At 41.1% G+C, this 12,486-nt stretch overlaps 1 protein-coding gene across 5 annotated transcripts in view, besides 2 other annotated features; it reads left to right on the top strand.

Annotated features, from left to right (window-relative positions):
• ANXA7 (annexin A7) overlaps nt 1-12,486 on the top strand; it is a 38,958-nt gene that overhangs the window by 1,502 nt on the left and 24,970 nt on the right. For 2 of the 5 annotated variants that reach the window (NM_001156.5, NM_004034.4), the window contains exon 2: nt 11,700-11,754. The exons of 2 other annotated variants lie outside the window; for them this stretch is intronic. In NM_001156.5, the coding sequence (NP_001147.1) occupies nt 11,701-11,754 (54 nt within the window). In that variant the 5' untranslated portion in view covers nt 11,700. Of the gene's footprint in view, nt 1-4,238; nt 4,382-11,699; nt 11,755-12,486 lie in introns of those variants that run through there. One more of the 5 variants, XM_017016162.3, reaches the window with a different exon arrangement.
• Nucleotides 1,819-2,026: a silencer, noted in NCBI's record as "fragment chr10:75170289-75170496 (GRCh37/hg19 assembly coordinates)". NCBI's record gives its function as "represses an EF-1alpha promoter that drives an FKBP-Casp9 reporter gene in an ReSE screen in K562 erythroleukemia cells {active_cell/tissue: K562}" and the evidence as "EXISTENCE:reporter gene assay evidence [ECO:0000049][PMID:32094911]".
• Nucleotides 6,341-6,841: an enhancer, noted in NCBI's record as "H3K4me1 hESC enhancer chr10:75165474-75165974 (GRCh37/hg19 assembly coordinates)". NCBI's record gives its function as "activates a minimal SCP1, AML or CMV promoter by ChIP-STARR-seq in primed H9 embryonic stem cells {active_cell/tissue: H9 hESC(primed)}" and the evidence as "EXISTENCE:reporter gene assay evidence [ECO:0000049][PMID:30033119]".

Below are 12,486 nucleotides of genomic sequence, written 5' to 3'. Positions count from 1 at the left end.
GCCACTGCACTCCAGCCTGGGCGGCAGAGAGAAACTCTGTCACAAAAAAAAAAAAAACCCAAAAAACTCTAGACTTACTATTCACTTGGGCAAAGTTGAGAAATTTTTTGAGTCACTCTGGGTGTTATTTAGCTTTTTACAAAAACGTTTAAAATCTGCCTCTTGAATAAATGATATATGTACAATTCTAAAAGGGCTAAAGTACATTGAAAAGTAAGTCTCGGCCGGGCGCAGTGGCTGTCGCCTGTAATCCCAGCACTTTGGGAGGCCTAGGCGGGAGGATCACGAGGTCAGGAGATCGAGACCATCCTGACTAACACGGTGAAACCCCGTCTCTACTAAAAATACAAAAATTAGCCGGGCGTGGTGGCAGGCGCCTGTAGTCCCAGCTACTCAGGAGGTTGAGGCACAAGAATCTCTTGAACCCCGGAGGCGGAGGTTGCAGTAAGCTGAGATCGTGCCACTGCACTCCAGCCTGGCAACAGAGCGAGACTCCATCTCAAAAAAAGAAAAAAGAAAGGTAAATAGTCTTCTCCATTGTGTCCCAGCTCTTCATCCAGGAAGCAGTCACTGTTTTCTACTTCCTTGAGTGTCCTTTCAGGGATATTCTATAAGTCAAAATCAGTGCATTTTTTACACATAATGGCAGCACACTATGCAGTTTTTCACTTTGCCTTTTTTTTTTTTCATTAATACGTGTTATAGATGGTTTCATATATGGGTAAAAGAAAAAGCTGCCTCATTTTTAATAACCACATAACACCTCCTTGTATGGCTATCCATAATCTGTTTCACCTGTCCCTCCTTTTTAAAAATTTAAGCAATGGCCCCGCACAGTGGCTCACGCCTGTAATCCCAGCACTTTGGGAGGCCGAGGTGGGTGGATCACCTGAGGTCAGGAGTTCGAGACTAGCCTGGCCAACATGATGAAACCCTGTCTGTACTAAAAATACAAAATTTAGCCGGGTGCGGTGGCACGTCCCAGCTACACGGGAGGCTGAGACAGGAGAATCGCTTGAACCTGGGAGGTGGAGGTTGCAATGAGTGGAGATCACACCACTGCACTCCAGCCTGGATGATAGAGCAAGACTCCATCTCCAAAAAAAAAGATAAAATTTCAACAGCTTTTGGAGTACAAGTGGTTTTTTGTTACATGGATGAATTATATGGTGGTGAATTCTGAGATTTTAGTCACCCAAGTAATGTACATTGTACCTAATGTGTAGTTTTTGATTCCTAGCCCCCTTTCACCCTCCCCTTTCTGAGTCTCTAAAGTCCATTATATCACTTCATACCTATGTCTTTGCATACTCATAGCTTAGCTTCCACTTACACAGTGAGAACATACGGCTTTTGGTTTTCCACCCCTGTATTACTTCACTTAGAAAAATGGCCTCCAGCTTCATCCAAGTTGCTGCAAAAGACATTATTTTGTTCCTTTTAATGGCTGAGTAGTATTCCATGGTTTATATATACCACATTTTCTTTATCCACTCAGTTGATGGGCACTTAGATTGGTTCCACATCTTTGCAGTTGTGAGTTGTGCTGCTATAAATATACATGTGCAAAAGTCTTTTTCATATAATGACTTTCTTTCCTTTGGGTAGATACCCAGCAGTGGAATTTCTGGATTGAATGGTAGATCTTTTTTAGCTCTTCAAGGAGTCTCCATACTGTTTTCTGTAGAGGCTGTATAGTAGTGTAATAAGCGGTCTCTTTTCCCCACATCCACACCAACATCTATTGTTTTTTGACTTTTTTTTTTTTTTTTTTTGAGATGGAGTCTCGCTCTCGTTGCCAGGCTGGAGTGCAATGGCGTGATCTCAGCTCACCCCAACCTCCGCCTCCCGGATTCAAGCAATTCTCCTGACTCAGCCTCCCAAGTAGCTGGGATTACAGTCACACGCCACCATGCCCAGCTAATTTTGTTATTTTTGGTAGAGACGGGTTTCTCCATGTTGGTCAGGCTGGTTTCAAACTCCCAACCTCAGGTGATCGCCCGTCTGGGCCTCCCAAAGTGCTGGGATTACAGATGGGGGCTACCGCGCCCGGCCCATTTTTTGACTTTTTAAGAATAACCATTCCTGTAGGAGCACGGTGGTATCTCATTGTGGTTAATTTGCATTTCCCTGATGATTAATGATGTTGAATTATTAATGATTATTTCATGTTTTTTGGCCATTTGTGTATCTTTTGAGAAATGTCTATTCATGTCCTTTGCTCAGTTTTTAATGCAATTGTTTTTTTTTCTTTGTGATTTGAGTTCCTTGTAGATTCTGGATACTAGTCCTTTGTTGGATGCATAGTTTGCAAATATTTTCTCCCATTCTGTGGGTGGTCTGTTTACTCTGTTGATTATTTGTTTTGCTGTGCCGAAGCTTTTTAGTTTAATTAGGTCCCATCTATTTATTTTTGTTTTTGTTGCGTTTGTTTTTGGGGTCTTAGTCATGAATTTTTTGCCTAGGCCAGTGTTTAGAAGACTGTTTCCAATGTTCTAGAATTTTTATAGTTTCAGGTCTTATATTTAAATCTTTTATCAACTTGAGTTGATTTTTGCATTGGATGATAGTTAGGGATCCAGTTTCATTCTTCATGTGGCTTGCCAGTTTTCCCAGCATCATTTATTGAATAGGATGTCCATTCCCCAATTTTTGTTTTTGTGTGCTTTGTCAAAGAGCAGTTGGCTGTATGTATTTGGCTTTATTTCTGAGTTCTCTATTTTGTTCCATTGGTCTATGTGCCTACTTTTAAACCAGTACCATGCTGTTGTGGTAGCTATAGGCTTGTAGTGTATTTGAAGTCTGGTAATGTGATGTCTCCAGATTTGTCTTTTTGCTTAGAATTGCTTTGGCTATTCAGGCTGTTTTTTGTTCCATATTAATTTTAGGATTGTTTTTTCTAATTCTGTGAAAAATGATCTTGGTATTTTGATGGGAATCGCATTGAATCTGTAGATTGCTTTGGGCAGTATGGTCATTTTCACAATATTGATTCTTTCAATCCATGAGCATGGGATGAGTTTCCATTTATGTCATCTGTGATTTCTTTCAGCAGTATTTTGTAGTTCTCCTTGTAGAGATCTGTCATCTCCTTGGTGAAGCATATTCCTAGGTATTCTATTTATTTTTTATTTTTGCAGCTATTATAAAAGGGATTGAGCTCTTGATTTGATTCTCAGCTTGGACGTTTTTGGTATATAGCAGTGCTACTGATTTGTGTACATTGATTTTGTAACCTGAGACTTTACCGATTTCATTTATCAAATCTAAGAGTCTGTTGGAGTCTTTAGGATTTCCTTGGTATATAGTCATAATATCTGCAAACAGTGATAGTTTGACTTCCTCTTTTCCAATTTGGATACACTTTATTGCTTTCCCCTACTTTCCCTCTGGCTAATACTTCCAGAACTATGTCGAATAGGAGTGGTGAAAGTGGATGTCCTTGTCTTGTTCCTGTTCTCAGGGGGAATGCTTTCAACTTTTCCCCATTCAGTATGATGTTGGCTTTGTCGTCATATATGGCTTTTATTATTTTGAGTTAGGTCCTTTCTATGCCTCATTTGTTGAGTTCTTTATTGTAAAGGATGCTGGATTTTGTTGAATGCTTTTTCTGCATCTGTTGAGATCATATGGTTTTTGTTTTTAATTCTGTTTATGTGATACATCACATTTATTGACTTGCATATGTTAAATCATTCCAGCATCCCTGGGATGACACCTGTCCCTTATTGATGGACATTCACATGGTTTTTAACCTTTTCCTATTACAAAAATGCTGCAGTGAATAGCCTTGTACATATATAATTTTGTCCTTGTGCAAGTATTTCTATAAGGTACATTCCTGGAAATGGAATTGCATTCTAGTCTTTTATATAATTATTTTTCAAAATGTACCAAAATTCACTTTCTTAAAATAGCTTTAATTTTTATTATATACAGATAATCTTTGCCTTATTTTCATTTTTGTTGACATAATTCCTCCAGGCTCTTAAAGGTAAGATTTAAGATAGTAGCTAAAGAATTTAGATATAGGTCTTGTCACTGGAACAATTTCTTGAAACTTAGAAATTTAAATTGCTTATGATGTCTTTGGTACTGTAACTGCATATTGCCTTTCAAATTACTATTAATTTATCTCATAAATTATTTTCAGATTTTTTTTTCCTTTATTTTGACCCTGACCCTTTTGCCCTTGGTCTATCTACTTTTCTTTTTCTTTCTTTTTTTTTTTCTTTTTCCTTGTCTTGTCTTGTCTTTTCTTTCAACTGGAGTGCAATGATGCAAACACGACTCACTGCCGCCTTGACCTCCTGGCCTCAAGCAATTCTCCCACCTCAGCTTCCTGAATAGTTTGGACTACAGGTGGGCGCCGCTGCACTGGGTAATTTTTAAAATATTTTTGTAGGGACGAGGTCTTACTATGTTGCCCAGCATGGTCTTTAACTCCTTGGCTCAAGCAGTCCTCCCACCTTGGCCTCCCAGAGTTTTGGGATTATAGGTGTGAGCCACTGCGCCTGGCCTATCTGACCATTCTTTAGAGCTTTTGCCCCTCCTTTACTCTTTATACAAACCCAGGCTTAGAAAAGAAAAAAGCAAAAAAATTCAGCCTGTCCCTGTTTTTATATCCAGCCCTTTGGGATCCCAAATGATTATTTTATAATTGACTGGGTCAGTTTTCATATCATTTTATGTTTCTTATTGACTTATAGCCTTGATTCAATCTATGTCCGTTTATTCTCAATTCAGCACATTTTTAGCTTCTATCCTGTGTTCCTGTCATAAGGGACACTATATTATCTCATTTTCCTATACTGTGTACTCAAATGGCTGAATACTTAATCTTTCTATCAGCACCTAGGACAGTGCTCATTACACAGTGGACTTTCATAAATGTTGACTTGAGTTGGGTTTATTTGGCATCTGATATAAAAGAAATATGAATCATTTACAGCTGTATTGATGAAAAGTGCCAAAACATATATTTACAAATTTAGAAAATTAGGTGTAGATCCAGAAATCCCAAAGTATTCTGGTATCAGAGTGTGAATCACAGACCTGCAGAATCCATATCACCTGAAAGCTTTAGAAATGCAGAATCTCAGGCCCCATCCTGGAGCTACTGAATTAAAATCTCTATTTTAACACGATCCCTAGGGATTCATATACACATTAAAGTTTGAGGCCAGGTACAGTGGCTCACGCCTGTAATCCCAGCACTTTGGGAGGCTGAGGCAGGCAGATCACTTGGGGTCAGGAGTTTGTGACCAGCCTGGCCAACATGGTGAAACTCCGTCTCCATTAAAAATGCAAAAATTAAGCAGGTGTGGTAGTGCGCACCTGTAGTCTCAGCTACTTGGAATGCTAAAGGAGGAGAATCGCTTGAACCCAGGAGGTGGAGGCTGCAGTGACCCGAGATTGTGCCACTGCATTCCAGCCTGAGCAACAGAGCAAGACTGTCTCAAAAAGAAAACATTGAGAAACACTATTTTAGTCAACTACGTTGTTCAAAGAAGGAAGAGAGGAGACTTGAGCTAGATAGGAGGGGTGAGTAAGCCCAGGCTTGAGGGCCAAGTCAGTTAATGATAAGAATGGCTTAAGCAAAGGAATGCTGGGAATGGTTCAAGTGATAGAGATTTCACGTTGAGGGTTAGGTGTTGGTAAGAAATGAGTTAAATAGATAAATAGAGGGTGGGTGTGGTGGCTCATGCCTGTAATCCTAGCACTTTGGGAGGCTGAGGCGGGTGGATCTCTTGAACCCAGGAGTTCAAGACCAGCCTGGGCAGCATGGCGAAACCCCGTCTTTACTAAAAATACAAAAAATTAGCCAGGTATGGTTGTGTGCACCTGTAGTCTTAGCTCTTCAGGAGACTGAGATGAGAGGATCATCTGAGCCCAGGAATTCGAGGCTACAGTGAGCTGATGTCACACTACTGCACTCCAGCCTGGGCGATAGAGCAAGAAACCATCTCAAAAATATATGTATAATAATAATAATTGGAGCCAGTACTAAGGAGACCTGTATATCAGGCCAATTAATTTTCATTTGATACTCCAGCAGTAGTCATTGATGATTTTTGAGCTGAAGAGCAATTTGCTGAAAGAGCAGCATTTTAGGAAAGTTTAGCTAGTGACAGTGTCTGAGAAAATTGGGAGGGTGACAGAGTATAAGCAAGAATATAAACAGAGGAGGAGTTTTAGTAAGACAGGCATCAAGTGATGAAACTTGGTCTAAGTATATGACCATGAGAACAGAAATTACAGAAGAGGCATTTCAAAGGATGGATAGAAAAACACTGGTTTTGGCCGGGCGCAGTGGCTCATGCCTGCGATCCCAGCACCTTGGGAGGCCGAGGCGGCCAGATCACCTGAGGTCAGGAGTTCGAGACCAGCCTGGCCAACATGACGAAACCCTGTCTCTACTAAAATACAATAAATTAGCCGGGTGTGGTGGTGGGCGCCTGTAATCCCAGTTACTCAGGAGGCTGAGGCAGGAGAATTGCTTGAACCCAGGAGGTGGAAGCTGCAGTGAGCCGAGATTGCACCACTGCACTCCAGCTGGGGTGACAAGAGCGAAACTCTGTCTCAAAAAAAAAAAAGAAGAGAAAAATACTGGGTTTCTTACTATACTGGAGTATTAGGTAATTTAAGTAGTGGTGCTATTGACAGATAAAGGATGTTAAGAGTGGTGTGGTGGAGAATGACGAGTATTTTATTATACACATACAGAAAGCCTCCTGATTGACTTCTGTCTTAATCTGCTCCTTAGTCTATTTTGGTGATCATCCGTCTCACAGTTACGTCTCACCTTTTGCCTTGCAAATAACATTGTTCTACTTTCTTGCCTATCTGTGTCTAGCACCTTTAAAAGCCTGGTTTAAACCTTTGATCATTCACTCTCCACTTGTAGCAATGTTTTCTTGTAGATGCCAAAAAAGTGATTACTGACTTTATATAGATGTATTTGCCAGGTATATTATATCTGATCACTAATAGTATTTTAGATTTTTTTGTTGTTGTTGAAATGGAGTTTTGCCCTATCACCCAGGCTGGAGTGCAGTGGTGTGATCTTGGCTCACTGCAACCTCTGCCTCCTGGGTTCAAGCAATTCTGCCTCAGCCTCCTGAGTAGCTGGGCTTACAGGCACATGCCACCACGCCTGGCTAATTTTTGTATTTTTAGTAGAGACAGGGTTTCACCATGTTGGCCAGGCTGGTCTCGAACTCCTGACCTCAGTTGATCCGCCCACCTCAGCCTCCCAAAGTGCTGGGTGTATTACAGGCCTGGGCCACTGCACCCAGCCTTTTTTTTTTTTTTTTGAGACAGTATTGCTCTGTGGCCCAGGCTGGAGTGCAGTGGTGCAATCTTGGCTCACTGCAACCTCCACCTCCTGGGTTCAAGGGGTTCTCCTGCCTCAGCCTTCCAAGTAGCTGGGACTACAGGCACATGCCACCACACCCGGCTAATTTTTTGGATTTTTTATAGAGATGGGGTTTCATTGTGTTAGCGTGGATGGCCTCAATGTCCTGACCTTGTGATCTCCTCAGCCTCCCAAAGTGTTGGGATTACAGGCGTGAGCCACCGCGCCCGGCCCTAATTTTTGTATTTTTAATAGAGACAGGGTTTCACCATGTTGGTCAGGCTGGTCTCTGACCTCAAGTGATCCACCTGCGTTGGCTTCCAAAGTGCTCAGATTACAGGCGTGAACTACTGCGCCTGGCCGTGTTTTAGATTTGATCAGGCTAAGAGGGTATTCTTTTGAATGTTTGTTTTTTTCTCTGTTTATTTACATTTGCTTTAGGTTAATAGTGTTTTCTTCAAATGCAAAAGATATATATATATATATATATAGGGATATTTGTCTTTATCCACACTAGCTCCATTTATTTTACATGAGCCATCTTTTCAACAATGGACAGGAGAGTGTAATGAATCCCCATGTACTCATCACCCAGCGTGAGCAGTTATCAACTCCTGACTGCTTATTATGTCTAAATTCCTGCACTATATTATATAGAATATTCCTGCATATTATTTTGGCATAATCCCTGACATCGTATCGTTTTGTTTGTAAATACTTAATGTGTATCTCTAAAAGATCAGAATACTTGATGAAAATCATAGTACCATTATCACACCAAAAAAATAGTAATGTCTTAACATCACTTGATGTGCAGGTTATTGTTTACTTTTCCAAATGGAAATGAGCACCTTTTGAAGAACATAACTTTCAAACTTTCTGGTACAGACTGCAGTTTTTAAAAGATATTTCCAGTGTTATGTTTGCTGATCAGAAGACTATCAACTTTTGATCACCATTATTATCACAGAATAGATAATATATGAATGCCTCCTTAATCTCAGACTAACCACACTCTACCACCCTACTTTCTTTTTCCATCAGAAAGCATTCTAATTTTAAAATTATTCTAAGTCTAATAAAATTGAGAAAGTAAATGTACTGAAAGTGTTATAATGAATTAATAAAAGCCAAACTTCATGCTAATTATTTTTTTAATATTCTTGTATTATCTATCACAGTTCTCTATGATCATAGCAGTTAACACTTACTGAGGACTTACTTTATTGCAGGCACTGCTAAATGCTTTGCCTTTGTTCTTTTACTTAATTCTTACAACAACATCCTTAAGTAGGTACGTTCACGTCCCATTTTATAGATGAAGAAATGAAGGCCTAAAAAGGCTAAGTAACTTCCTTTGAGAAGCTAAGTAACTGCCCATATTCACACAGCTGGAAATCCAGGATGTTAGATGGAAAATTCTGTTGGCAGTGCTGGTGAAAATGCAAATTGGTACAGCCCCTCTGGAGGGGAATTGGGCAGTATCACATTCACCTTTACCCCTTCTCAGCAATGCCATTTCTAGGAATCTTCCCCGAAGATAGTATTGGCAAAATATACAGAGAGGTACTTGTACATGGCTGTTCATTGCAAGACTGTAATAGTTAAAAGACTAGAAATAACTCAGATGTCTGCCATTGAATAAGCCATGATACATCCACACACTGAAGTACTATGTGGTTTTTTGTTGTTGTTGTTTTGTTTTTTTTTAAGAGACACGGTCTCACTCTGTTGCCCAGGCTGGAGTACAGTGGTGCGATCCTAGCTCACTGCAGCCTTGAAGTCTTGGGCTCAAGTGATCCTCCTGCCCAGGCTTCTGAATAACTGGCACTACAGGTGCACACCACCATGCCTGGCTAATTATTTTACTTTTTGTAGAGATGAGGTCTTTCTTTGTTGCCCAGGCTGATCTCAAACTTCTGGCTGCAAGAGATTCTACTGCCTCAGCCTTCCAAAGTGCTGGGATTTACAGGCATGAGCCGCTGTGCCTGGCCTATGTTGTTGTTTTTAAAAAGGAATGAAGAGTGTGGGTGTTGGCCATAATAAAAGAAAAAAGCCAGTAAAGAAACAGAGTATGTGCCGGGAGCAGTGGCTCACGCCTATAATCCCAGCACTTTGGGAGGCCAAGGTGGGTGGATCACCAGGTCAGTAGTTCAAGACCAGCCTGGCCAAGATGGTGAAACCCCATCTCTACTAAAAATACAAAAATTAGCCAGGCACGGTGGCAGGCACCTGTAATCCCAGCTACTTGGGAGGCTGAGGCAGGAGAATCACTTGAACCCAAGGGGCAGAGGTTGCAATGAGTTGAGATTATGCCACTGTACTCCAGCCTGGGCGACAGAGTCAGACTCCGACTCAAAAAAAAAAAAAGAAACAGAGTTTTTATGTAAGAATGGAATGGGGGAATGGGGATACAAATATAGACATATCAGCTTATGTACTTAAAGATAGGTAGATAAACTGTAAAAGTAATCATATGTAGGAGATAGTAAGGGACAGGGTTAGAAGTTAACAGGTTTCTGAACATATCTTGTTTTGTAGATTTGACTTTAGAATCCAGAGAATGTTTTACATAATTACAAAACTAAATCAAAAACTTTTTAAACCTTAAAAGTCAAAAGCAAAATGAAACAAATGGACCTAACGTGTGTCAAATTGGTAGCATAACTACACAGGAATTATTTTCAAAATGTCGTTAAAACAGTAATTTGAGGCTAGGCCTGTAATCCCAGCACTTTGAGAGGCTGAAGCAGGCAGATCGCTTGAGCCCAGGAGTTCAAGACCAGCCTGGGCAATACGGTGAAACCCCATCTCTACAAAAAAAATACAAAAATTCACCAGGCATGGTGGTACGCACCTGTGGTCCCAGCTACGGGGTGGGGAGGGGGGGTGTTGAGGTGGGAGGATCACCTGAGCCCAGGAGGTCAAGGCTGCAGCAAGCTGTGATTGTGCCACTATACTCCAGCCTGGGTGACAGAGCAAGACCTTGTCTCAAAAATAAAAAGTTTATAAAAAAGAAAGCTAGGGTTTAATCCACGTATATGTGACTCCAGAATGTTAACTCTTAACCATTGTACCATTGTTTCCCATAATGTGGTTATATCACCATATGAGGGGATTTCTGTGGCACCTAGAAAGGACTTTTTATTGTAATAGCTAAGTATTTATTTTAATATTACCTTCTATTTGTGGTAAGAAAACTACTGGAAGTTTTCCATTTAAAAGTATGCTGATATTTAAAAGTATGCTGATGATAAGCATACTTTTAACATAAATGGAATTAAAAATTGGCTTAAAGAAAAATAGATCAGCCAGGTGTGGTTCTGGAGGCTGGGAAGTCCAAGAGCAAGGTGCTGGCATCTGGTGAGGACTGCCCTCTGCTTCCAAGATGAAGCCTTGGCCGGGTGAGGTGGCTTACGCCTGTAATCCCAGCACTTTGGGAGGCCAAGGTGGGTGGTTCACCTGAGGTTAGGCGTTCAAGACCGGCCTGGCCAACATGGTGAAACCCCATCTCTACTAAAAATAACAAAAAATTAGCCGAGCATGGTGGCAGACGCCTGTAATCCCAGCTACTCGGGAGGCTGAGGCAGGAGAATCACTTGGACCCGGGAGGCGGAGGTTGCAATGAGCTGAGATTGTGCCACTACACTCCAGCCTGGGCAACAGGGTGAGACTCCGTCTCCAAAAAAAAAAGAGAAAAGAAGAATAGTTCAGTATTGGTATAGTAGTGGTAGAATTGAGATGTGACAAAAATTGTATGGCATGACAAAGTTGGAACCTTTCTAGGCTGTACTGACTCCATTGGTGTGAATGATGAAATAAGCATTTAATAAGCTTTGCTTATACCCCTAATATCCACATTTTAATTTTATGCCAGACTCTTTTGAAAAGAGAAATATTTTGCATAAAACCTTGTGTGTGTGTGTGTGTGTGTGTTGTGTATGTGTGTGTATATCTGTATGTTTTCAAAGGCCTTAACCATTATAAGAAATTACAGGCTGGGCGCGGTGGCTCACACCTGTAATCCCAGCACTTTGGGAGGCTGAGGCAGGTGGATCACCAGGTTAAGAGATTGAGACAATCCTGGCCAACATGGTGAAACTCCATCTCTACAAAAAATATAAAAATTAGCTGGGCATGGTGGCGTGCACCTGTAGTCCCAGCTACTTGGGAGGCTGAGGCAGGAGAATCGCTTGAACCCGGAGGCAGAGGTTGCAGTGAGCCAAAATCACGCCACTGCACTCCAACCTGGTGACAGAGTGAGACTCCGTCTCAAAAAACAAAACAAAACAAAACAAAACAACAAAAAACTTACAGAGGACATTTTTTATTGTTGTTACAGAATGTCATACCCAGGCTATCCCCCAACAGGCTACCCACCTTTCCCTGGATATCCTGTAAGTATTGCCACTTAATACCTCACATCCTTAAAACAGGTGTTGTTTGGGACTGGCCCATGTCAGATCTTACAGATATGCTTGAGCAGGGGTCATAAATTCAGATGCTCAGAGGTACTACGTAGAAGTGAGGAAAGGCAATTGTGTGGGGGACTAGAGAGGTCTTGCTTTGTCTATTGAAAGCTGGCAGGTGCTTAGCACCAGCCCTGTGTAGCCATGGAGGGAGGCACACTCAGCGTTGCTAGATACTCCAGCCCTTCAAGTAAAGCCAGAAACTTGGGTTCTATGTGAAATTGCCCAAAGGTTCAAAATTTAGGAGTTAGTTTTAAAAAATGTTAACTGCTGTATGAGCCAGTAAAACATGGATGTAAGCAAAATCCATCCCATGAATCACTGGTTCTTTTTCTTTTTTTTAATGCCCTTGAGTCATAATATCACTGCATCTTAACCTTTGTGTTAGAATGTTTAAAATAATTAACGGCTTGGCTAGACCCAGAGATAAATTGCAGTGGATTTGTAGTTCTTAGACTTGGAGTACGTTTTATAAATGTGCTACTAAGTTCCACCTTGTTGATAGCTATACTACTCTGAGGACTAAGAGCTGAGCCATAAGTAAGAATTGTGCGTTTCAGTTTTTGTTTGTTTGTTTGTTTGTGTTTTTGAGATGGAGTCTCGCTGTGCGCCCAGGCTGGAGTGCAGTGGTGTGATCTCAGCTCACTGCAACTTATGCCT

Source organism: Homo sapiens, chromosome 10 (assembly GCF_000001405.40).
Source record: "Homo sapiens chromosome 10, GRCh38.p14 Primary Assembly".
Lineage (NCBI taxonomy): Eukaryota > Metazoa > Chordata > Mammalia > Primates > Hominidae > Homo > Homo sapiens.
This window is presented reverse-complemented; position numbering and strand designations above follow the sequence as displayed.